Source organism: Homo sapiens, chromosome 1 (assembly GCF_000001405.40).
Source record: "Homo sapiens chromosome 1, GRCh38.p14 Primary Assembly".
Taxonomy (NCBI): Eukaryota; Metazoa; Chordata; class Mammalia; order Primates; family Hominidae; genus Homo; species Homo sapiens.
Window position 1 is genome coordinate 232,402,204 of NC_000001.11, and position 24,918 is coordinate 232,427,121.

The 24,918-nt window shown below is 42.1% G+C and overlaps 1 protein-coding gene across 11 annotated transcripts in view, besides 4 other annotated features; it reads right to left on the minus strand.

Annotated features, from left to right (window-relative positions):
- SIPA1L2 (signal induced proliferation associated 1 like 2) overlaps nt 1-24,918 on the minus strand; it is a 232,532-nt gene that overhangs the window by 4,239 nt on the left and 203,375 nt on the right. For 9 of the 11 annotated variants that reach the window (XM_017001896.2, XM_047426142.1, XM_005273213.5 and 6 more), the window contains 5 exons: nt 23,386-23,605; nt 13,291-13,422; nt 1,922-1,975; nt 1,245-1,368; nt 189-270 (listed from right to left, as the gene is read on the minus strand). In XM_017001896.2, the coding sequence (XP_016857385.1) occupies nt 189-270; nt 1,245-1,368; nt 1,922-1,975; nt 13,291-13,422; nt 23,386-23,605 (612 nt within the window). The remainder of the gene's footprint in view (nt 1-188; nt 271-1,244; nt 1,369-1,921; nt 1,976-13,290; nt 13,423-23,385; nt 23,606-24,918) is intronic. The other 2 variants (NM_001377488.1, XM_047426145.1) reach the window with 1 other exon arrangement.
- Nucleotides 1,378-1,547: an enhancer, noted in NCBI's record as "experimental_5949 CRE fragment used in MPRA reporter constructs". NCBI's record gives its function as "activates a minimal promoter by MPRAs in K562 erythroleukemia cells, with activity observed for both the introgressed and non-introgressed 1:232539412 variant alleles {active_cell/tissue: K562}" and the evidence as "EXISTENCE:reporter gene assay evidence [ECO:0000049][PMID:34662402]".
- Nucleotides 2,277-2,446: an enhancer, noted in NCBI's record as "experimental_5966 CRE fragment used in MPRA reporter constructs". NCBI's record gives its function as "activates a minimal promoter by MPRAs in K562 erythroleukemia cells, with activity observed for the non-introgressed 1:232540311 variant allele {active_cell/tissue: K562}" and the evidence as "EXISTENCE:reporter gene assay evidence [ECO:0000049][PMID:34662402]".
- Nucleotides 5,672-5,841: an enhancer, noted in NCBI's record as "experimental_5991 CRE fragment used in MPRA reporter constructs". NCBI's record gives its function as "activates a minimal promoter by MPRAs in K562 erythroleukemia cells, with activity observed for the non-introgressed 1:232543706 variant allele {active_cell/tissue: K562}" and the evidence as "EXISTENCE:reporter gene assay evidence [ECO:0000049][PMID:34662402]".
- Nucleotides 8,408-8,577: an enhancer, noted in NCBI's record as "experimental_6018 CRE fragment used in MPRA reporter constructs". NCBI's record gives its function as "activates a minimal promoter by MPRAs in K562 erythroleukemia cells, with activity observed for the non-introgressed 1:232546442 variant allele {active_cell/tissue: K562}" and the evidence as "EXISTENCE:reporter gene assay evidence [ECO:0000049][PMID:34662402]".

The following is a 24,918-nucleotide window of genomic DNA, read 5'->3' on the forward strand; positions in this document are numbered from 1 at the left end:
ACAAAATGAAATACATCAGCTGCAGGTCAGCAGATGGAGTGAGACCTCAGGAGCATCTGTTGGTATTTATCATTGGTTTTTGTGTAAGGCAGTTTTCTTTCCTGAGTCTTTTCAATTTATCTGTAGTAGTTATAAGGGGCTGATTTTATAAGAGAAACAGTTCTGATTATGCTCTTCCAATTGATTACCTTCCGAAGGTCGGTCTGGAGTTGTCGAAGAATTAATTCCAGCTGATTGACTTTCCCGGTCAGTGGTGATGGAGAACGCTCCCTAGCAAATAAGGATAGAATTAGAAAGATTCAAGAGAGTCAATCGAGCATTTTTGTTGGTCAAGTTTTCACTCGAAAAAATTATTTCATGTGCTTAGAGCCCAGCAAGCAGATATATTATATTATGTCAGAATGGGAAAGTGTCCATATTGCTGATCTAGTGGAAAGCCCATTCTGGGACTTTACTGATTTAAAAAGAGATGCAGAAACTCTATAGATATACGAGTTGGTAGGAAAACAAAAGATATATTATTTAAGTTGGTTTATCCAATGGAGACAAGGAAGACCCAAATGAAGTCCTGGGAACCAGTCAATTTCCCCAATTTGCCTTTCCCTATGATAACAATATTATGAAGCTCGTTACCAATGTGAACATGCAAGTTAATGAAGTTAATTCCAAGTTCTATATTCAGCTCACATAGAAGTTGGAATTAAGAATGGATGACAGAGGTAAAGAATACACATTTCACGGGGAATGAACATGTCATGAATATAGGGGAAAGAGTGGGGTGTTCCCAACATATTTCAGTGGAGGGCATGAGGCTGGATCAAGGACCAGGTTCTGGGAGGGGCCATGCCCTGGGCTGGTGAGCATGTGCAGCCTGGCAGGTGGAAGGCCAATCGGCGAGTTATCCCTGCATGGTGCTGTTGCAGTAATTCAGCAGCAGACGCTGACCTTGAGGCCTCTTCTTGCCCTCTTTGACAGTGAGGCTCGTCACCATGGGCACAGGGTCACAAGTCTTGGCAGGCAGGGTGTGCCCATGGAGCAGAGGGGTCATGCAGCCAAGAGCGGTCTCCCACAGCAGGGCAGGGAGCCAAGTAGTCCCACTCAGTCCCTTCTCTGGATTCTTCAGGACTGGGAAAGGGCATGGTGCAATATGGTCGCCCGCCTGGCTCAGGGTTAGTCGGTTAGCCGAATCTTGGCTAATCATGCCTGGAACAGCAGGAGGGAGGGGTCCACAGGGGCTCACATACCCAGTTGTGTCCATGAACTCTTTGCCACTGCCTGGATCTACACATAAGGGCAGCTCTTGGGCCCCTTCCAGGTCCTGCCCATGCTGCATATCTGTCAGGGTGCAGAAGGATGCCACCCTCTGGTCTGGGGAGGGGAGAAACACACACAGAAAGAAGGGTTAGTAATCAATGCAAGGCAATGTTTCTTTGTGGAAATGCAATAGCTAAATAAAATCTTTTCCCCCCTTCAAACCAGTTACTGCCTTGTTTTGGAGCAAAACAAAGAAAAACAAATTCAGGCAAGCTTCTGAGAAGGAGAAAGCATGGAGATTGGCTGTCCTCCTACTGGGCTGTATGGCCTATGCACATCACAGCCATGGGGACAATTAGCAGACACTGGATTTGCTACAGCCAATTTGCTTTCTTCTTTCCACATCCCAAGAAATGCCAAAGCTGCTGGCTATGCATGAAATAATAGTTGGATAATGACTCGACTGACAGAACAAAGGAGAGGGACCTCTCTCTCAAGTTCTCCCCAAACCCGGAGAAGGTTCTGGAGACAGAACAGCCAGGACACATGTCCCGCTGTGCACCCCCAACCCTCAGGGCGTGAATAACCATGCAGACGTGCAGACACATGAAATATACAGAAAAGGTTACAGGATATCAGGAGCCAACGAGCAGCCCCAGACAATCACCTAGATAGGACGTGTGGTGACAGAGCAGCCCCAGTTCTTCATCTGAGTCAAGACCTGAAATAAGATTTAGAATTTTCCTATGAACAGGAGTATCTCTCTATACTTGAGAATCTCGGGGGCCCACAAAATGCGGCTGTGTGAAGTAGTGTGTGTGTGTGATGGACCAGGGGAAACCCTTGAGAGCCAGTATCATGTAACTCCAATGCAATGAGATGACACATTTCATGTTTTCACTGTTGGTTGGAAGCGGGGCTGTAGGGTACAACAAAGACATGTGGTATGCCATACACACATGGATCCAACCATGAGCATACACAACTGTGGGCTTACTTAAATGACTCACTCCACAAATCCAAAGAGAGTGGTGGTAAGAGAGATTAGCTAAGTAATCTCACTAGAAACCCTTAAAGGAAGATCTGAGGGGCTCAGTATGTATAGCAGTAGCACCAATGATCAGTATGACTACAATGCCTTATCTTAGCACAAGGACATTTTTATTCTTGGCACTAGGAACTTAATATTCAATGTTTTAAGAGGTCGGAAGGAAAGGGAATAGAATAGTCTTAAGAATGGGCGCCAGACTGGCCCAGCTCTGGGGGCTGAGCACTGACCAAGAACAGCAATCCAGAAATGCTGAATGGCATGCAGGAAAATATTCTGTTTTTGAACCACATGGAAGTGAGAACCTCGCAATCTATTCCATGATCAATTCACCCTCATTCCCTGGAGTCTCTCTGCTTGGTTTCTGAGCACACTTATGTATCTACAGTAGGAATCTGAGGTATACAGCAGGCGTGTTAGTGCTGTGGCAGTCCTTTTCCTATGAATTGGTTAATTCTGGAGAGACTGCACTTGGATCCGTGTCAGGGGTGCTCCACTCTTAATTTACCCCACTCTGCCTCCCTCTGGCTGCTGGACAAGCCTCCTAATGAGGCTACCTGCTTGTTTGCTTTATGGCAGGTCATACACTTCCAGTTAATTAAAAAGGATGGTCACATTGAAGCTGCCAGGAACATATGAAGGAAAGCCAAGGCTGTAGGCTGTGGCCATGGTGCTGAAAGCACCGTCAGTGCCCTGACAGAGGCCTGGGCCCTCCTGAGTGCACCCAGCTACTGATTGCATTAAGAGTTCTCCATCCATGTGGCTCCATTTGCTAACACACCTGCCCTAGGCAGGCAGATGTCTTTCAACTAATTCTGTAAAGCTCCACACATCGAATCTTCCATAAGATGATAAACATTCTATAACTATACATTCCTGAGCATCATGTTACCAATTTGGTACTGCATAGTAGGCTTTTTGCATAAAGTAATTTGCTATTTAATTAAGATCAACAACATAGTTGGGGCCCTGCCAACTTCTACTATGATGTGACCTGCACAGCAGAGCTGGGGGCAGAATCCTGGCTGGGCTTGAGCTGCTCTAGGGGCTGGGTGGGGAGGTCTGGGCTGCAGTGGTGTCCAACATAACCCTCTGTTCTGTAAAGAGCCCAGAATATGGGAACACATCACATTTTAAAAAATCTTTAGGAGATATATTTTTATTCCATAGTGACTTTACTGACCAGAAAAGGAATGGAAAAGAAAATGGATAAAAATTTGTCTAACTCTTTAGGAGTTTCATTGACTCATCCTTGTTTTATGCAAGCCAGTGATAATTCAGTTATGTTTCTTTCTCAATGTATTTGGGTCTGGTGGTCAAGTCTAAATACATGGATGAACATGCCTTAGCTTCCTTCATCTGTTTTTACCTTAATTGATAAAATACCCACATATTTAACAGAAACAGAATTTCCTACAGGCAGTCATTCAGACATCCCCTAGGGAGAAACAGGGTCCTACTGGTCAGGAGGCAAGAAGCCAAAACTAGAGTTTTGCCAGCAATGTAATTTCACAAACAGGATTTCACTTTGGAATTGAAAAGCTTGGGAGGCTGAAATGCAAAGAGGATGCTATTTGATTAAGTACAGACACCAAGCTACTTTATAAAATAGCTAATCTTAGAGACAGTTTCCAGTGGAAGCTTCATGCCCCTTCAGCTTATTTCTGATGATAAATATTCAATAATCAAGCAATTACTGAGATAGAATCAAATGGCACCAACAAAACCATCAGAAAAGACAGGCACAAGAATAGGAGCTTCATGTACGTGGTCACGGTTGGTACAGATCCAATCACCCACACTCCACACGTGGAGCCCCTTCGGTTTTCTTTCCTGTGTGAGCAGATCTGGCTAAGGTGGAACGCTGGGCATGGCTGACACACAAAACAATCCATCCTTTAAAATAATCTTTTAAAAAACCTTATTTCAATGTCAGTTTCTTATTTTTAGTGCATTTAACACTAAACAAGATGAATAGTCAACAGGCTATTCCATATCCTAGAGCCAAGATGGCAAAACAGATGACTGCAAGTCACTCCCATGACCCCGTCTAGGATGCCTGCAGCACCAGGAACATAAGGCCAAGGCTGGATTGGTGGGGGTGAATGGTCTGATCAACATGTCATGTCTGTTGAACATAAGGCCAAGGCTGGATTGGTGGGGGTGAATGGTCTGATCAACGTGTTATGTCTGTCCAACATAAGGCCAAGGCTGGACTGGTGGGGGTGAATGGTCTGATCAACGCGTCATGTCTGTTGAGGGTGAGGAATAGAACGATAGTGCCTGCCCCAGATACATGCCAGATGGAACATCCAAGTACGAGGCTAGTTGAAATTAAACCTATTTCCACAAATAAAGCTGTTCTAATATGTCTTTGTTAGAACTGCAAACTAAAGACAAAGTAGGGTTTTGTAGCTACATGTAGAAAATTAAAAGTTTTGATTCTGACACCTGTGCTTATTGCATTGCAGAAAACTGACTTAACTGGCCACTAGGAAAGGAAAAAAGGCTGCACTGTACTGTTTTCCACCTAAAATTCTCTGGTTTAGACTTTTGGAAGCCCATCCATGCATGTAAAAAGATAATGGTCTAGTATCTGCCTATGAGTAATTAACAAGAAAAAGTCCTGAAATTATTCTTTATTTAAGAAACAACTATTGCATTGGCCTGAAACCATTTCAATTTACTTTTGAGATAATTTAAATGGATTTACTATTCCAAATTTGACTTTGCATTTTTCACCCATGTGGTAGTCATTTTTCTTTCCATTTTTTTTTCCACTAATTATGTTACCACTAGGAGTTACTCAGTAAGTCACATTTTGTTTATACTTATATACACACACTCTCTCATACACACAGTGGTCAAATATCAATAACTGTAACAACTTTATCAACTTTAAGCTGAAGCTTCATAACAGAAAAAGTTCTCATCATAAAAAGGGATGTTTATTATGCTCTGTTTAAGAAACCAAGGGCCTAAAGAACACAACAAATTAAAGATACAGACTTTGAATTTTTGGAAAATACGGTTATGTGGAGCATTTCATTGCCACAGTGGTGCCTGGAATGTGAATTGTTAACTCTGCATGTGTCTTTCACATTGATATTTGCACAGGAGCACACACACGTCCATGCTCCCAAACAGCTATGGGAAGATGGCGATCTCTACCACCAACTGGGGAAGTCTGGAAACCTAGGAGGACAGGCCTTCGTGGGGCAGCAACATGGAATCCAGAGTCTAGGATCACTAGTTGGTGATTTTACCTTTGAAGCCTATGTTCACTGAAAACAACATTATCCATTCAACAAATGCTAAAAACACACCAACTGCCTCTTTCTGATATTCTGATGAATGAGAGCTACTCAAAATCCTAGAGCTTTTGAAGAGACTCCACTTCCCTTCCCCAGCTTCACTGTTTGACCCATAGCCAGGTTTTCTGGTCGGGTTTGTTCCCATTACCATGTTTAACGGGGGACGAAAGCCATTATATACATTATCAGGTACCCCCAAACTTGACATGATTCTACGTAACAAAGGGTATGATAAGCACTGCAGGGTGGCAAAACTATGATCTTATTGAACTAGACAGACCACCAATTTCACTTAGGAATTCTGACATGTAAGAAGGACATGTTTTGCCCTCCAACAAACAAAATAACTGCATACATTAAAACAAAGTCTAAAATGTGACTCCGCCAGCTTTTCAAACTTGACCTTACAGCATGGGGGAGGCACAGGGCATCCAACTTACTTTTGCCTTCTTAGACCTATGAAGGACTGTTTTTTTTTTTTTAAACTGTTTGGGTAGAGATATGTTATTTGATCACTTATTAATTTTTTTAAATGCACAATATTTTTCTATTGGAAGCTTTTTAATTCTTTTTAATAACTTTCTGTCAGCAAATTCTCAGGAATTAGATTTCTGGTTAAAAGGTGGGTACAGTTTTCTGGCAGTAGTAACATATTATCATATTGCTGAACAAAAAGATGGATCACTTTATAATCTTTATAATGATACCAGCTGTGAGTATTCTTCATAGCTTCCTAGAGTTATTGTATCATTTTTCATATTCAAAAAGTGTGAGCTGGTAACTCATTATTCTTTAAATTTACATGTGTGGTTGAACATTTTTCACCTTCTTATTTATTGTGCATTTGTCTTTTGTGAAATTTATATTCACATTCCTTGACCATTTGTTTACTGTGGGTTTGGTGTTTTTTTGCTGGGTAAGTTCCTTTACGTACTTTAGGTATCCTGGTTTTACCTATCACATTCTTTAGAAATCTTTTCCTAAAGTCCAATATTTCCTCTTTTATTTTAATATTCTCTTTCAGGCTCCCATAATTCTAAATATTTAAATACCTTTATCTGACCATATTACATTCTGTATGTTCTCTCACTACTCCATAATTAAAGCATAATCTTGCTTCCAAAACCACAATCTTACTTTTACTTTTTCTAAAGTTGACTTTTTAAATACCTAAATCCAAATGGAATACATAAATTCCTTACCCATGTAACTCTTATATTCAGATTTCTGTCTGAGCTCTTAATTTTTCTTCAAAAATTCTTATCCCTATTTTTGAATTATGCTGTTTTAATTATTATTAAGTTATAATAGATCTTTTGGTTGAATATCATTTACCTATTTTCCAAATGGAGGCAAATTTAGTTTTTCAACTATTTTTCTTGAAATTGCATTAACTCTACAAGTTAATTCAGGAAGCACCGTCATCTTTACTATGAAGCTTTCTATCCATTTCTAGTCTTACATATTAAGACTTTTCAGATATTAAAGCGTTCCTTGGAATTCTCTCATATTTCCGATGGTTTACTTCTCAAAGAACATGTTAATTCAATCTTACTGATATATCTAAGGTGTCTTGTGACTATTACAGTGGAAAGCTGTCTCCAAAGACAGCTGCCAACAACTCCTCCCTGTGTGCACCTGCCATCAAGAGGTAGAGGTAGAGTCTATGTTGCACCCCTGGAATACCGGCCTTGTGAACTACTTTGGCCTAAATAGAACGTGGTGAATATAATGTTCTGGGACATTCAAAACCAGGCCTTAAGACATCACAGAACTTCTGCTTTTGCTCTTCTAATTCCTTAAGCCCCCATGTGAATAAATATAACTACTCTACTGAAGGCAGGGGTCCCACTAGGCCTCAGCCATTCCAGACACAGACAGGTGAGTGAAATCTCCTTAATGCTCCAGATCCAGCTGAGCTGCAGCTGCATGCAGCTGCCTGAGTGACCCCAGCTAAGATCACATGGAGCAGAAGAACCACCCAGCTGAGCCTAGTCAACCCAGAGAATCATAAGAAATAATAAGCTATTGTTGTTTTTAGCCATAAATGTTGGGGGTGGTTTGTTACACAGCAATAGGTAACTGAAAAAATTAATAACACTTTGAAATTATACTTATAAAAATATATTTCAAAATATCTAATTACTTTACCTATTTTATAATCTCTAATTAAACTTCATTTTGATCTTTTGTATTTTCTATGTATAAAACCCTATCTAAATTTCTTTTATCTCCAACATTTATCCCTTTTTTTCTTTGCATTCCTTGTTTAAATGTCAAAGATTCCAGTATAAAAATTAAAGGGCACGGTCTCAAAGAGTACACTTGCTTAGTTTCTGGACATAAGCAATCTGCTTATAAACATTTTCTATTAAGTACTATGTAACCATTTGAAATAAAGTAGATATTAGTCTTTGGGGGTATCTCTCAAATCTTAATTTTTGAAGAAATAGGTTCTAATTCTATTAGATATACTTTTTTGGGACAAATTGATATAGCTTTTAATTACTTCACCTACTGTAACTTTTTAATTAAAGTTTTTCTTTTACTAAACTAAACTCTTGCCAATAACAATGAATAATCTTTTCAATTTACTACTGAATTTCATCTAAGCTTTCTCATACTAATATTAAAGACTGAGATTGTCTTATAATTATCTTTCCTGTGTGTACGTGTTTATCAGGAAAGAATCCTATCATGCAAGAAGGCTGCTTCTGAATTTCAAAATATATATATATATATACGCAAGGGCATCATTACTCTTTGAAACTCTGAAAACAATTAACTGTAAACTTATTATTTTCAGGTAATATATTTGGTATTTGGGGATATTCCTGGGTGACTTTTTCAATGCCTTCCACACCTGGGCCTTTGACCGTTTCTTATGCTCCCTGCAACGTTTTCTTGCAAGAAATAATCTAAGTACCTTATCCACCAAATGTATTCCTATATAGCTACTTGACGTTCCTTAGTAATTAAAAAAATCTCTATGTCTCTTTTTTAAAATGTCACCCAGAGAACATATTAATTAGAAAATATAGAGGACTGAGATCCACTTGGGGCCAGAAGCTAGGGGTTAGGGTGGTATACCAGTATTTTGTGCAGAAGGAACCAGCCAAGTAGCCTGCCAAGGTTTGCAGAAAATTAAGTGATCAAGTGCATCATCTTATACCATTAAAGACAGAAAAGAAATTTTCTGGGTAAATAAAGAGCCCCACAACTGGGATCAGCCAAGCTGGGCAGGCAGTGTGTATGTGCTACAGTGAATTAAGGAGGGTGTTCTGAGCTTGCATCTCTAGATTGCCCTTTGACAGGTTTCCTTCTGCCTCTACAGCTAATACTGTACATTTACATATTTAGATTTACAGGAAACCAAGTTCTTTAGTAAGGACAGGGTCTCGTCTTGACCAGATTTTATGGTTCAGGCTGGCCTGGTTTGCATTATGGTGGGGAGTGCAAGACCCCAAAAGATCACGAGGTCTCCATAATCCAAGCCAGGGAGAGGTAATAACATTCCTATCCTAGAGGTATCTGGGGTTTGAGGGGTAAGGCAGAACCCACTGTCCTCTGCAGGGAGATGGCACAGTTCTGCACAGGTCATTTTGGTCCCACTGTCTTCTTCTCATGTTAACTTAACCTCCTTTCTAACATGGTTCATTTGTACTTTTTTATATTTTGGATCAAATTTGCTATTGGTTTATCAATATTCAAAGAAAAACTCAGGTTGTTAGTTTTATTTATAAATTGCAGTGTAATTTCAATTGCCAGTTGCTTTTTTTTTTACAACTTACTTCATTCCTTTTCTTTGTGTGTTTTTCTTTCACAGTTTTTGTGGAATCTTTTTAAGTACAGTTAAGTTAGTTAATTTTCCCTTTTTGCCATTGAAATAAATGCTTCTGAAACATATTTTTCTTTAAAAGCTACCCTCTCTCTGGGTGTAGTCCAGATTTACAAAGCATCTTTTTCATGATCCTAAAAAAATTGCTCTTGTCATATTCATTAATTCTTCCCAGCATAATTATTATTACAGTAACATTTACAACTTTCTAAGTGGTCAGATTTTTGTGTTTTGCTTCTCTTTTTCTTATTTAATTCTATTATCACTGCCTTATGGTCAGCAATGTGGTCTGGAAACACGCCTCCTTTTTGGAGGGAGCTTACTGAGTCCTTATGCACAGAATACCTGACTCTCACCCACAACTATACCATTTATTATGGTCCTTGCACGAATAGAGTTTAAACATTTAAGTAGTCATGATTTGACAGCTTAATTTGGTGCCTCTGCTCTAAATTGGTATAGTATAGTGGTATAGTAAAATCTAAATTCTTAAACTCGCATCCAATGTCAACTTTAGCCCTTAAATGAAGGTGAACATATCATATGCCAAAATGTGTAGCATAAACGAGGTAGACTAATGGGGGAGAGGCAAGTCTGCCAGGGATCAATTACACTATTGGATTTTATAGGGATCATGGGATCTCAATCCAATAGGCAGGTAAATTCCATTTTCCAAGCCTATTTTCAGATATACTAACTGAAATAGGGGCACAGGATTATTCCAAGGAAGTCTGAGGCAATAAGCCTTTTGAACTGCCTTTGTTAGTTTGCAGCAATAACATAAACAAGTACATGGACATGTTTTGGGTTATCTTTTCTTTATAATGTTTACTCTAGCTCAGAAATGGCCTTGAGAACTGGTACAAAAAGATAAAGTTATGAGCAGGGCAACTGGGTTATCTACCTGAAGACATTTCTCTTTAAAAGTGCTAAGGAGATTGATCACGCTCATCACCACCATGCAACTCACGAGACAGGGGAGCAGGTCACTGGGATACAACCTGAGGCAACACTGATACAAGGGAACCTGATTAGCCAAAGGAGGTACACATACTCAACCAAATTTTCATAAGCTGGCTACTGTCTCACCATGACATGCCACCCTATGGAGCAGCATCAAAAATTAAACACGTCATTAACTCCTTCCACATTATTTTATCTATCAATGTTAGAGGTCAATGCTAACTCCTCCCACATTATTTTATCTATCAATGTTAGGGGTCAGTGGTAACTCCTTCCACATTATTTTATCAATGTTAAAGCTCAGATAACCAAAGTCTTCTCCTTTGGCAAATAGAATATTACATTATTTTCTGTTTAATTTAGGCATTCATGTACCTGAGGGCACTGGCTAGGGAGAATTTCCATGTCATACTTTTTCCCTTCTGTGCCAACTACCACCCATACTCTTACTTCAGCTTAGAAATACTTGTTGATAATGAAACCACAGAACTAGAGGTTTAGGACTAGATGAAGCTTTCCTTACAGGTTCTTTGGTTCTTCATTTTACAGATGAGAAGACTGAAGCCCAAATTAATTCAGCACATGTCCAAAAGGATTACTATTTAACATTCACCAAGTTCATATTTGTAAAAGACCTAGAAGAGTATTGGGACAAAGTGTGGATGTCATAGTAGTTAAGTGACTTGTCCAAAGGCCTATGGCCCAGAAATGGCTGAAGTTATGACCGAAATCCCTAAATTGATCATTCAGTCCATGCACCATTTTGCCTTCTCTAATCCCCTGGAAAAAAAAATGCATTTTCTAGCAGTCATTCTGTTCTGAAGGAACATTTGAAAGGGGTGGAAGGGAACCAAGTAAAGACATAAACAAGGGTAGATACAGAGATAAGGTGATAAATATTGTTTGAAATCTGAAAGGTGATCACAAAATGCAAAAGGATATAAGAGGTTGAGAGCTGTGCTATGAGCTGGGATAGTTCTGGGCTGTGTAAAACTGTGTGTATTGAATACCTACTTACTCCTTGTTACTAGCGCTTCTCCTTTGGTTATCTTGATATGTATTTTTGACAAATACAGATAAAATAATAAAAGAGGCAGCCTTCTCTTAAGAAACTCATCTCTTAAGAGACAGGCATGAGAATGAAGCAGAATTCAGTGCGTTCAGTACTCTGCAGATAGTTACACAGTGAGGCCACACAGAGATCTTATCTCTGGTCTAATCTCTCCTGGGGCAGAAAGATCTGGTCAGAGTGAGAGACTGTAGTGTGTAAAGAACACCCCAGGGAAAGAGAAAATGGTGTTACCTCCCCTCTGGGTTGCTCTGGACAGAGGTAAAGACAGCGTCCCTGTGCTCTGGTGCTGGGTCATGCCCAAGAAAGTGCTAGAAGCATGGGGAGCCCAGGAAACAACTAGACCACCAGCCTGGGGCTTCTAAAATATGCAACTAACTTCTGGTAGCATCAGAGAATGAGGGTCTCCCCACAAGGCAGACAGGCAGACAGGGCTCTTCTGAAATTTCTACAAGGACTGAGTGGTTTGTAAAGAAAGCAGTCTCGTTCCTTCCATTTAGGGAGCAGTGAGCGCACATTCATGTTGCAGAAGCTTCCTCCTAGCAAGCTGCCTTTCACCTACTTCCCCTGTGTCCACTTGAGAGTGGATTCCAACTCCTGTTCCCAGAGGCTCAGGACCAGAGGCACTGATACCAGCTGGGTAGAGCGAAGCCACCATCGGGCCTCCCTAACGCATTACGCTAGTCACAGATGAGGGGCAGTGAACCCTCAACCTTCCGCATTTTGACTTCAAATGCACCTCCCCTCCTGGGAAAAGAATTTGATTTTGTTTCCTGAGGCCTGGTGTCACAGGTGATGGGGCTGTGCTAGCAGAGACTGAGAAGGGAAAAGAAATGGGGAGTGAGAAAGAGAAGGAAGGGCCCTGAGGCCTGAGAAGGCAGCAGTGGACTCGGGCGCCTCCAGGATGCTGTGACTCAGTTACACCATGAGAGTCTCACAGAGCGCAGGGCATTAAACAGCCCCTACTAAAATGATCCTGCCTCCTTTGTCAGTCCTAGCTGCCAGGTTCCCCAGTGCCAGAGCCTGCCATCGTAAAAACTCACTGAAGAATGCAGCGGCAAAGGGCAAAACGTCATAAGTCACGATCCCGAGGGCCCCAGGTTTACACAGTATCACCGTGAGGTCCTGAGGCTGCACGTGAAGCAAGCATCTTCCTTGTTTTGTCTACCTTTATCTGCGAGCTGGACAAAGGTGTTCCTGAAGGGGTAGCCTCAACCAAAAATGACAGAAGACAGTGTGGCAGCTGGATGGCTCTTAGAGATTGGCTAGCCCACCTACCCTCACTGACCCACATTTTAAGAGGAAGAAGCCGAGGCCTCAACAGCCAAAGACACTTGCATGGGTCAAGCCAATCACGCTGGAGTCTGTGTTTACGCCAGGTGAACAGACTTCTCGGCCTGTGCTTGTCCGGCGAAGCCCAGCAGCTCCCGCCTCCTAAATGTGTCCCCCACATTATACCTCAGTATGCTATGAGGAAAGACGCAAGGTGCTCTCCATACAATCACCTCTACTTTTCAGATAGGAAACAGAGGTCCCACCCAGGTCACAAATGGTGCCAGAGCTAGAATTCGGGTTTTCAGATTTCTTGCCTAGTGCTCCTTTTACTAAATGACATGATCTCCCTCAGGAAATGTCCTCACAGCCCAAGCCAGCCCCTGCTTGTTTTCATCATCCAACAAGGCAAAACATTCAAAACTTTGACCAGACGATGGGAGACAGACGGGCTCCCCTAAGATGCCGCACAGGCCCTGCAGGAAAGCACTCCCAGGGTAAGGGGTGAGGCCAGAGGCTGGTGAGTCTTTACCTTCAAATGCCCGTGCAGCATCCACGAGGTGGGTCCAATCTAACCCTGTGGCTGTGTCCGGGAGGGGCATCAGGCCAGGATCTGCGCACTTGGACTTATCTGATAAGGACCCATCGGAGAACCAGAACTCATCTAAACAGAAACAAAACCAGAGAGTCAGTCATCAGTCACAGCACGGGCACCAGCCCAGAGTGAGTCAGAACATGGGCACCACTGCCCCTCCCAGAGTCAGTCAGTCAGAACACGGGCACCACTGCCCCCTCCCAGAGTCAGTCAGAACACGGGCACCACTGTCCCTCCCAGAGTCAGTCAGTCAGAACACGGGCACCACTGTCCCTCCCAGAGTCAGTCAGAACACGGGCACCACTGTCCCTCCCAGAGTCAGTCAGAACACGGGCACCACTGTCCCTCCCAGAGTCAGTCAGTCAGAACACGGGCACCACTGCCCCTCCCAGAGTCAGTCAGTCAGAACACGGGCACCACTGTCCCTCCCAGAGTCAGTCAGAACACGGGCACCACTGTCCCTCCCAGAGTCAGTCAGTCAGAACACGGGCACCACTGTCCCTCCCAGAGTCAGTCAGTCAGAACACGGGCACCACTGTCCCTCCCAGAGTCAGTCAGAACACGGGCACCACTGTCCCTCCCAGAGTCAGTCAGGAGTCAGTCAGTCGGAGCACAGCACAGGCAATGCTATCCCCTCCCAGTGAGTCAGTCAGCACAGGAACCACCATCCCCTCCCAAAGTGGCCAAGATAATTTTTCCTGCTCTTAATGGAAAAAGAAAACATGAGGCTGCAGTTGCCCAAAAGGGATCTAGCTGGAAAAATGGAGGTTTGTAAAAAGCAGGCGAGTCTGCACTAGTGAGAGGTTGGCCAGCATGTAAGGGCAGGGATGGCAGGAAGATTAGAATCAAGCCTCTGTACACTATTGTAATTTCGCGGTTTTCTTCCAGGGGGCTTCTTTTGAGTACATCCAGGTCTGACTATTGCAAGACAAATCCTCATTTTCTTCAGGGGAGACCTTCCTCTTTTTAAAAGTGTTGCAGGGTTTACGTTGCTGTAAGAAGTATTGGAACAATCTCCATCCTGATTCATAAAGCTTACTGAGGAACACTTCTAAGCTGAGCACCACAAACTTGAGATGCCTCAAATACCAATTGATTATAAAAATGTAGTAAGACCAACTTTGCTTTTATCAATACATGAGATTGAGGATGCTATTTGATATACAAAGCACACACATAGTGGTTGGATTACCTTTCTGACTTAGTAAGGTAGTTTTATCAATGGCTAAAGCAGAAACCACTCACCCACCCTGTATTCAATGTTGGGTGGTTTTCCTTTGGCTATGAATGGACCTTTTCCATTTCTTTTTCTCCTTAAACTCTCATCAAGGTACTTAAGTGTTTATGTCATTAATAATACTCGTTGTTAAGAACTTATTACGCATCTGAGGACAAGTTCTAAAAAGGCTTCAACTGGACTTTAATGTGCCTTTTCTGAACCTGCCCAGAACACTGCATGCAGCTGCTTGTGAACACATCTGACTAATTAGACCAATCAAAATAATGACCACCTGGCTGTTTGAGCCTGCAATTATGTTAAGTAAGGGGGCATAATTAACCAAATGCACCTGTAATTTTTATTCCCACATCCTTTTGGGTAGCTGTGAAATGCTGGCATCTGGACTAAGACAGCTAGTAAATTTGGCCTTGAAGGAGACCGACAGACTTTTTTGAGACTCTGGACAAATGCAGCTCTTACCAGATCTCTAACAGTTACAGCTACGCCAATTTTCCATGCTACCTACCACCTTTAGAAGTTGGGGTAATATTCCACCTAATTATTCCCTGCCTCTATTTTGAAGGGAACCCAGTAATGGATATATTGTCCACATTGTTTCCACCCTCCCTTCTCCACATGCTCTTCTTTGAAACAACACTGGTTCTTCCTTATTCTACTTGTTCTGTGTGTGATGTGCTTGTCCTTGCCAAGAGGTTAACCAGCAGAGGAGGGAAGCAGCAACGCAGGAGTGGGAGGTGGGAAGGAGGGCACGCAGCACTCACTGTTTCCCAGGAGCATCCTTGCTCCCTACTGGGCAAAGACTGGGCTGAACTGGCTGTCGGGTCCTGTCTCAGTTGCTTAGGAAGAAAGGGTTCCAGAAAGGTAAAGAAAGACCCTCAAGCAGAAAGGTAAAGAAACCCAGGAATCTTCCTTCACTTAAAAAACACTTCCTTCTCTCTCTGCAACTCATATGCTGCTTTGCTCAAGGCAAGTTTTCTGCACCGAGTGTAAAGAAATTAAATATGGAGGCAGCAATTACTTTTGTCACTGATTTCCACATGGCTGGGCTCTTCGGGAAACGGTGCAAGAGCGGCATAGCTCTGTGAGGGCCGCGGAGGTCAGGCAGGCTGGAATCTGGGCCCACTGCAGCACTGTCCTCCCTCCTTCCCTCACTGGAGGGGAAGCATCAGGGAGCGGAATGGAATTCTATTCAGATACACGGCCATTTCTACAGAAAGTACATTCTGTTCATCATGTTTTACTAAGAAATGCCAACTCGTGAATTTTCCTTGTGTTTATAAAGAAACAATCCTTCATTCCAGCTTCTGGCATTCTTGAAGGCTAAAATCAAGCCTAACACACATTCTATGTGCTACTTTTCCCCCTAAGACCACTATACAACAAGATCCTTACTTGGCGATAACAGGAGACAGGAAAAGAGAAAAATAACACAGTAGACAAGAGGGGTAAAATGCAATGAGAACAGAGGGGATGGCGGCCAGTGCCCTGATTCACAAGCTGGGATGTGAGATTAATGTCCCTTGCTTCCCCTTCCCCTGGTCCCTCCTGCAGCTGTGTGCATCTTTCCCCAGTACTCAATAGAGTGGTTTCCTGACAGTCTTGAGTGAAATAAGCTCTGACAATTCCTAAGCACCTCTAAAGTTCCTGATACGTGGCCATTCATAATTTTGCCAAGGCACAAACATGAATCTTTGTGGCCCACAGTGCGTGAGTGGGCCCGGCTGCCCACGGAGCAGGCCAGCCAACCAGCTCTGAAGGTCTCTGCCTGCTACCCCCTACGCAATGCATGCAGAGACCCCACACAATGTGGCACTAATGGCTCTCGGATCTGAGATGGTTTCGGGGTGTATATTTCACAACCAAAGGCAAGCCCAGACAACCCCTCACCACTTTTAATTTGTATGGCTGGCCAAGCAGGGAGCAGAAGCAAAGGACATTTGTTGGTGACATTTTTTCTTTATTACAAAATATTGTCCCCCCTCCTCCAGTGGTGAATGGGACTTCTATTTGATACTGCAGAACTGGCAAAGAAGGTTAGCACAGATGAGATGTCTCCTTTTCTCATGAGTTTACCTGAAGCACTGTCCACTCAGCAGTCTACCACAATGTATTTGATAAGTGACTACTGCCTGCCACGTGATGGGGGCACAACAGTGGGTAGGGCAGACAAGGCCCTGCTCTCATGAAGCTTTACATCAAAGAAAAGACAATAAATGAATAAACAAGAAAATACAAGGAGTGATTAAGTCTTCTGCAGAAAGCAAAACAGGGTGATGTGACTGTGAAGCTTGGTGGCACATTTGGGGGAGGCCTGTCCAAGGAGGGGACACTTGGCTGAGACACAAATGATGAGAAGCTTCTTAATGAAGAGCATAGTTTAGGAATAAAAGCTATGAAAATATGGGGATTTAAATCTAAAATCCATCATTTTTCCATAAGCAGGAAGACTTCCAATGGCAGTCTTGTTAGACAAAGAGCCACCTATAGATCTCCATGAATAATCAACATGAAAAACACATACATTTTCTTTTCCATTGATTAGAATATCATGTAACTGGGAAAATTACTATTCTGTTTTTGTTTTTGTTTTTTTGAGTCTCTGACATGGTCCGGATGTTGTCCCCTCTAAATCTCATGTTGAAATGTAATTCCCAGTGTTGAAGGTAGGGCCTCGTGGAAGGTGTTTGAGTCATGGGTGGATCCCTCATGGCTTGATGCTATTCTCATGATAATGAGTGAGTTCTCGTGAGAGTGAGTTCTCGTGAGATCTGGTTGAGTGTGGCATCTCGCCATGGACTCTGTCTTGCTCCTTCTCTTGCTATGTGACACTCCTGCTCCCCCCTCTACCTTCCACCATGACTGTAAGCTTCCTGAGGCCCTCACCAGAAGCTGATGCCAGCACTATGCTTCCTGAACAGCCTGAAGAACCAAAAGCCAATTAAATCTCTTTTCTTATAAATTACCCAGCCCCAGATATTTCTTTATAGCAATGCAAGAACAGCCTAACACAGATTCTAAACTAGCCAAAATTATATGCAATACTTTTATCACTACCCCCATCACCCAGATGATGTTTACCGAGCATCTTCTATATTCCAGGAACTACTGGGTACTACATCAGAACCTAGGGAGAGAATAACTAGTAAGACACAAGTTCTATCCTTCAAAGAGCCCTGTCAACAAACAGATGAATACTGTTGGTGTTGGTCTGAGAGGGGTTTGGAGTAGGATATGCACAGTGCTGGCTGAGCGCGGTGGCTCACACCTGTAATCCCAGCACTTTGGGAGGCCAAGGCAGGCAGATCACCTGAGGTCAGGAGTTCGAGACCAACCTGGCTAACATGGTGAAACCCCATTTCTACTAAAAATACAAAAAATTAGCTGGGTGTGGTGGTACATTCCTGTAATCCCAGTTACTCGGGAGGCTGAGGCAGGAGAATTGCTTGAACCCGGGAGGTGGTGGCTGCAGCGAGCCAAGATCACGCCACTGCACTCCAGCTTGAGCAACAAGAGCGAAACTCCGTCTCCAAACAACAACAAAAAAAGATACACATAGTGCAGACCTGAAGGAGCAAGAGCAATTGATCACCTGTGCTTTGTGATGCCACAGTGGCTGGAACTGTCTTGTCTCCTCAGTTGTACGGTTTTATACGAAAGGCATCATTTGCCTCAGGTATCAAAGCCTGTTATTTTAAATCCAGCTCTCCCAAGCCTCAGGAGCCCGTACAACTCTTCTGGCCAATTAAGACAAGACTGTGGCTGGGCGTGGTGGCTCATGCCTGTAATCCCAGCACTTTGGGAGGCCGAGGCGGGCGGATCACGAGATCAGGAGATGGAGACCATCCTGGCTAACACGGTGAAACCCCGTCTCTACTAAAAATACAAAAAATTAGCCAGGTGCGGTGGTGGATGCCTGTAGTCCCAGCTACTCGGGGGGCTGAGGCAGGAGAATGGCGTGAACCTGGGAGGCAGAGCTTGCAGTGAGCCGAGATTGTGCCACTGCACTCCGGCCTGAGCGAAAGAGTGAGACTCCGTCTCAAAAAAAAAGAAAGTGCCAGCCTAGGCAAGTGGGTGGCACAAGTGTGGGGCACATTTGCAGGCTCCCCACACGAAGCACGGTGACCTCCTGGCATAACAAGTTTCTCACAGAGTTTTTCCAAATGGAAACCCGAACCAATTTTGCATATGGTATCACATACTAATGTCAAACAAGATGAGACATTTAGTGAGTAGAAAACAATAGTAACTGAATTTACTTCATACCCATAATATTTCTTGGGAGTTCTCAGGATGAGTTAAAAAACAGGAGAGAGGGGAGGACACTGTCTGAAAGCATTTTTTGGGCACAGTTGGGTAGATGCCATCCTACCTCACTTCTGGAGAAGACACTTCTCCGTGCTCACAATTCTTACTGCCCATGTTGCATACGGACCTAAGTCAGCCTTTCGAGAGACTCATGAATTCTGAAAGGGGGGTAGTATCAGGGAACCACTGCCTGCGCACCTGCTCTGGCTTGCGCACCTGCTCAAGCGACATTGATCTTGTGGCTTCCCGTCTGTTTACCCAAAACCTGAAATCACAGTAACCATCTTTACTGAGTCTGAGTTTATTGCTATTATTATAAATGCCAAGGAGCCTCTCAACAGCATTTCCTGGTGGTCAGATATCTGAGGTTTCACAATTACACTTTTCAGAAACCGATGTTTATTACAGGGAAGACTGAGGACATTTGAAAAAAGAGAAAGAAGTATTACACTGAATAACACTGCCTAGTCAAATACTGAATAGTCAAAACCCTGTTTGCAGATGGATGGATACCTTGCCATGCCACCCTTGGCAAAGATTCTTCCTCTGGTGGTTGGTAGTCCTTATCATCTACAACACAAAACCACCGAGGCTACACATGTGGTCTGAAGCAACATGTGCAAGTATTACATTATAACTAAAATACCAGTTTATTTTATTTATTCTAAACTCTCCCACTCTCCCACTTTTTAACTTCAAGGGGCATTCTTTGTGATGTGCGTAGGTCAGAACTATAGGATTTGAAACCACACATAATATTCTCTATTTTCATTTTTGAAATCTAAGAATTCTCATCAGTCCATTCTGATAGGAAGATTTCAGAGTTTTGATCTCCGTTCCATAAAAAACCAAAAAATTATCTTTAAGCCTGTGAGCCTGCCAATGCTTGGGATTGTGCTGAATGAACCCAGGTGTCTACCTGCCAAGGAATAAAAGGAAAATATGACTGCTTTTCAGTGTCACTGGTTATGTGGCCTGTGAACTGTGTGTTCAAAAGCCCACTGTCATTTTTTTTTCTCACCTGGGCCCTTAAATAAATTTTCTTCTGCAATCTACCAATGACAAAAACAAAGGTCCTAAAGGCAAGGCAGAAATGTTTCAGAAATATTCTCAACTGCTGGATCAGGTGATATTTGCATACCTCCAAGTTGAAGACATAAAGATACAGCACATTGCAGTGACTTCACAGGAAATATACATGAATCATGACATGAATTACATCCAAAATGAGCTTGTTAAGTATGAAGATTAAGATCTTAGTCTCAAGAGAAGAAAGATTGAGACAGATTCAAATCTGTAACTTTTAAAAGCTAAAAATACCTGAAAGAGAAGCCTGTGACTATGATAATTACATGTAGAAAAGGTGCAGAGATTAGGTCTTCCAATATTCACTGGGAAGAGATGGGCAGTTACTGGTGCTTTGCCCTGCTACCCTCCCTCCAAATTATAAACAAAATCTGATTGAGTCTCTCCTGGTGAAAGATTCTCTTTTCCCTATGAATGCTCTATGTTTTAAAGTTTAAAAGAAGAGTATCTGTGCTTTCTGAGTTTTCTGCCCAACTCTATCTACACAGCAATTCAAAACCATCTGGAACCAACCTCTGCTCCAAGTTTTGAAGTGAAGCTATATCTCTCTGAGAAACTAAGAGAAACTACTGGGCAACTTCAAATATTCCTCATTTCTCGCTCAAAGACATCTTCTGGGCATTAACACTCACATTTCAGCTTTTTGGGCTGCTCTAGTTTTTGACTGTCAAACTATTCTTAAAGAGTGGTATCTTCTTAGAGAGGGTCTACAGAATGGCCAGAAACCATAGAAAGAAGAGGATTATTAAAACCTGTCTTGAGTAGATCTTAATGGTGCAAAAGTGATACATACTCGGTAGAAATCATAATTCAAATTTTGAATTTTGAACTTTTCCCTGGCTAGTGATAGGCGGTATGACACTCTGTCGCAATGCTGAACTGGCAGTGAGTCACAGCTCCCAGTCAGCCACGCACGAGATTCCATGGGTAAATAACTGATATTGTATAGTGTATTGTGTTGCAAGATGATTTTGCCCAATTAGAGGCTAATGCAAGTGTGCTGAGTACGTTTAAGGTAGGCTAGGAAATGCTATGATGTTCAGTAGGTTAGGTCGCCATATACGTGGTCAACTTACAATATTTTCAACTTATGGTGGGTTTATCTGGACATGGCCCCATCGTAAGTCAAGGAGCATCTATAATCACATAGGCGATTGTGGTAGTCAGAAGGCCAGGGAACTAGAGGCCTCCAAACAATTAGATTCTGGAAGCTTAAACTTTCCATGGACAGGAGGTTGGAAATCAGAAGTCTTTAGGGGAATACACTTCAATACAAATTACCTCCAGTTTTCTGATTTATATTTTGTTAGTTCATCCATCAAGCCTAGAGAACTTTTTCCGAGTAGTTTCTTAAGTGTAGCTATTGGAGGAGATGTATCACCAAATAAGAAGGTTTCTTTAAAGAGAGCAAATGGCAAGGAAAACTCTTAGTGCTTTTTCTAGAGAAGTAAAAATGAAGACAAGTGAGGCAGTTTTCAGCTAGGACAGTGAATGAACAGTATAACTTGACTGTTTCCTAATTGTGCCTTTGAACACATTAAAAAAGGATACAGTTCTCCAGTATATGACTAAACAAACTACGGTACATCTAGATGACGCAATATTATTCAGCTGTAAAAAGAAATGAGCTATCAAACCATGAAAAGACATGGAGGAAGTTGAATGCTTATTACTAAGTAGAAGAGGCCAGTCTGAAAAGGCTGCATACTGCATGATTCCAACTATACGACATTCTAGAAAAGGCAAAACAATGGAAATAGTAAAAAGATTAGTGGTTGCCAGGAGCTAGAGGGGAGGGAGGGATGAACACGCAGAGCACAGAGGATTTTTAGGGCAGTGTAACTACTCTGAATGATACTGTAATGGCGGATACATGTCATCTTACACATTTTAGAAACACACAGAATGTACACCACCAGGAACGAACCCTAATGTAAACCAGGGCCTTTGGGTGATAAGGATCTGTCCACATAGGTTCATCGATTATAACACATGTACCACTGCCACTCTTTGAGGGCAGGGGTTTGTTGACAGTGGGGAAAATGTGTTGAGGAGGTATATGGAAAACCCCTGTATTTTTTGGTGTGAACCTAAAACTGCTCTAAGAAGTCTATTTTTTTTTAAGTGAAGCTAACAAAAAAAAAAAAAAAAAAAAAAAAAAAAGGACATACATCTTTCACCTGGAAACAAAATGAAGGGTAGAATGTAAGACCAACATAACACACGTACCACAGAGAGTTCACAAGCACACTTCAAACACTGTAAATGAAATAACACTTGCAGGAAAATAGAGGTTCATTGGTTTTACAAAAGCTTTTAAGAGGACATTGAAGTTACCTTTTACAAAAAAGAGAAAACAGCTGGAGAAATATTAGGAAAGTGGCCTAGGTCTGGCTGACCTTTCACATGGTTGTCAAGAAGGCGTTTAAAGGTTTCTTCAATTTAGGTAAATGGACTCTTTATAACAGGCAGGTTATTATGTTACTTAAAGAAGTAGATTAAGAATTTTATGAGATAAGGTTCATTTCCAATTATGTTAAACATTGGAAATATTATTAGAACTTTGATTTCATTTAGCCTGGGACTTCTAAGTGTATTATGAAGTTCGAATTGGTTCTAAAGATATTTTCTGTGATGAAATGAAAAAAAACTTGGCAATGAATAGATTTCTGATTAAATTCCCATTTTTTCTGTACAAAAATAACTATGTATAAAGGAAATAAGGCTAACATAAAAAAAAGTGCCCTTAAAAACTGACATTAATGAAGACTTGACACTACATAAAAATCAAAGATTTTTAGGATTTGAAGGAAAATCATCTAGAAATCGTCAGGTTGACCTGTGACTAGTAAGTTGAAATAAGCGGGGACACAAGAGAACACACGTCATCTGCACAGGAACACAAAGCCGCCCACGGGTAAAGCCCAGTCTACAAGCCAGGTCTCCCGAGGCACACGTGCCACCTCCCCATCTCCAGGTACTGAACTGCACGAAGAAACTGAAGGCTAGAAAACCAGATGTCCCTCCTTGCTGTCACCCACTGGAAAACCCACTCCTTACATCAGTCTTTTCTTTTTTTTTTTAAATCAGGCTAAAGACATTTTTTTCCTTTATAGATATGATAGCTGAGATATGATGCAGAAGTCACTATTGGACTTGACAGAAATATCTAACATGAGTTTCTCAATTGCTTTCAAAATAGGTAGTGTTACCTAACTTTTTCAAAATGTCCACTCTGGGGCTTCTATATTTGAAAATTATTTAAAACACCAAATAATATATATTTAATAAAAACAAAAACAAACTCCTAAATCACTCCACCCTCAGAGCTCAATGAGGCAGGAGTTGTGCGATCAGCCCACCCTCGGCGCTGGCCAGGGAGCAGCCAGCCCCTCACTTACTTCTCAGGCTCCCCATGCTGGGTGCGGGGTGGGCCCGCGGAGGCAGCGTGCTGTGGTAGGGTGGGGTGGTGCTGAACAGAATGTCGTTGGGCAGGGCCTGGTCAAGCACGGAACTCCGGGAACTGCCAAAGGAGGACCCCCTCCTGTTGCTGCAGATGCTCTCGTCAGACAGCGTGCGGTAAAGCGACCTCCTTGGAGACAGGTTCCCATAGAACGAAAACTAGGGTTTAAACAAGGTGCGAGGAGGGAACAGACATTAAAAAAACGAATGCACGGGGCTTGTTGGACTAAGTCCAGTGGTTTCACATACTATTGTGATAGCTTCTTTGAGTTTTCTCTGTTAGCTCAAGAATGCCAAACGCAGCATGCAGGGGATCAAGGCAAATACACCAGGGCTTGGGTGCAGTTATTAGATTTTATGTTTTCCTCCTTTGACATTCTATGAAATATTATCATGAATTAGACATGCACAGCTTTATTAACTCTGAAATGTTAAATAAAACCTCCATAACCTTATAGCAGTGATAGTTCCTGGAGTTATATAAGGTTGCCATTTCAGGCAATAGTTATTCAAAGCTCCACATAATACTGGTTTGATTTTAATTTGAAATGACTACATTGTAATATTAGGCAATTTCTCTACCAATCAACTACATGTGAGGTTCAATCTAATCTAAATAATAATAAGACTAATTGTGAACATTGAAGCTTTGCCGGCCACATAAACACATTTCCAAAAATCAGCAGCAGTCCAATAAAGTCTTACTGTCCACTTAAAAGTGTCACTTGTGGCCGGGCACAGTGGCTCATGCCTGGAATCCCAGCACTCTGGGAGGCAGAGGCTGGTGGATCACGAGGTCAGGAGATCAAGACCATTCTGGCTAACATGGTAAAACCCTGTCTCCACTAAAAATACAAAAAATTAGCTGGGCATGGTGATGCACGCCTGTAGTCCCAGCCACTAGGGAGGCTGAGGCAGGAGAATGGCATGAACCTGGGAGGCGGAGCTTGCAGTGAGCCGAGATCGTGCCACTGTACTCCAGCCTGGGCAACAGAGCAAGACTCCGTCTTGGAAAAAAAAAAAGTATCACTTGCCAAAGTCTGTATAATTGTTGAAAATTGAGTTACAATAATGGATCATAACCAGACTTAAATGAACCATTAAAATTATTGTTGTGTTTAATTACAGATAGGGTAAGGAAAATTCTTACTAAGAAATGAGTGGTCAAATACTCAAGAAAAGTTAAATCAAATCTGAATTTTCAACTACTTCCTTTGCATACTGAACCACAATCCTTTTAGGTAAACAATAGTAAAAGCCAGAATGTTCACATCATCAAACAAAGAAATGGCTATTTACATTTATGAATGTAGCAGTAAGTCTAAAAATATTCCTATTGTGTGTGTTCCTTCCATTCTGTCAAGTCTTTCCAACTGATGAAAGGTAACTGGAATGTGTGTGAGTTACAAAGTTAAATTTACATCATGAAAAGAAGGTGATTTGTCTTAGAAGAAAAAACACATGTCAAGAAG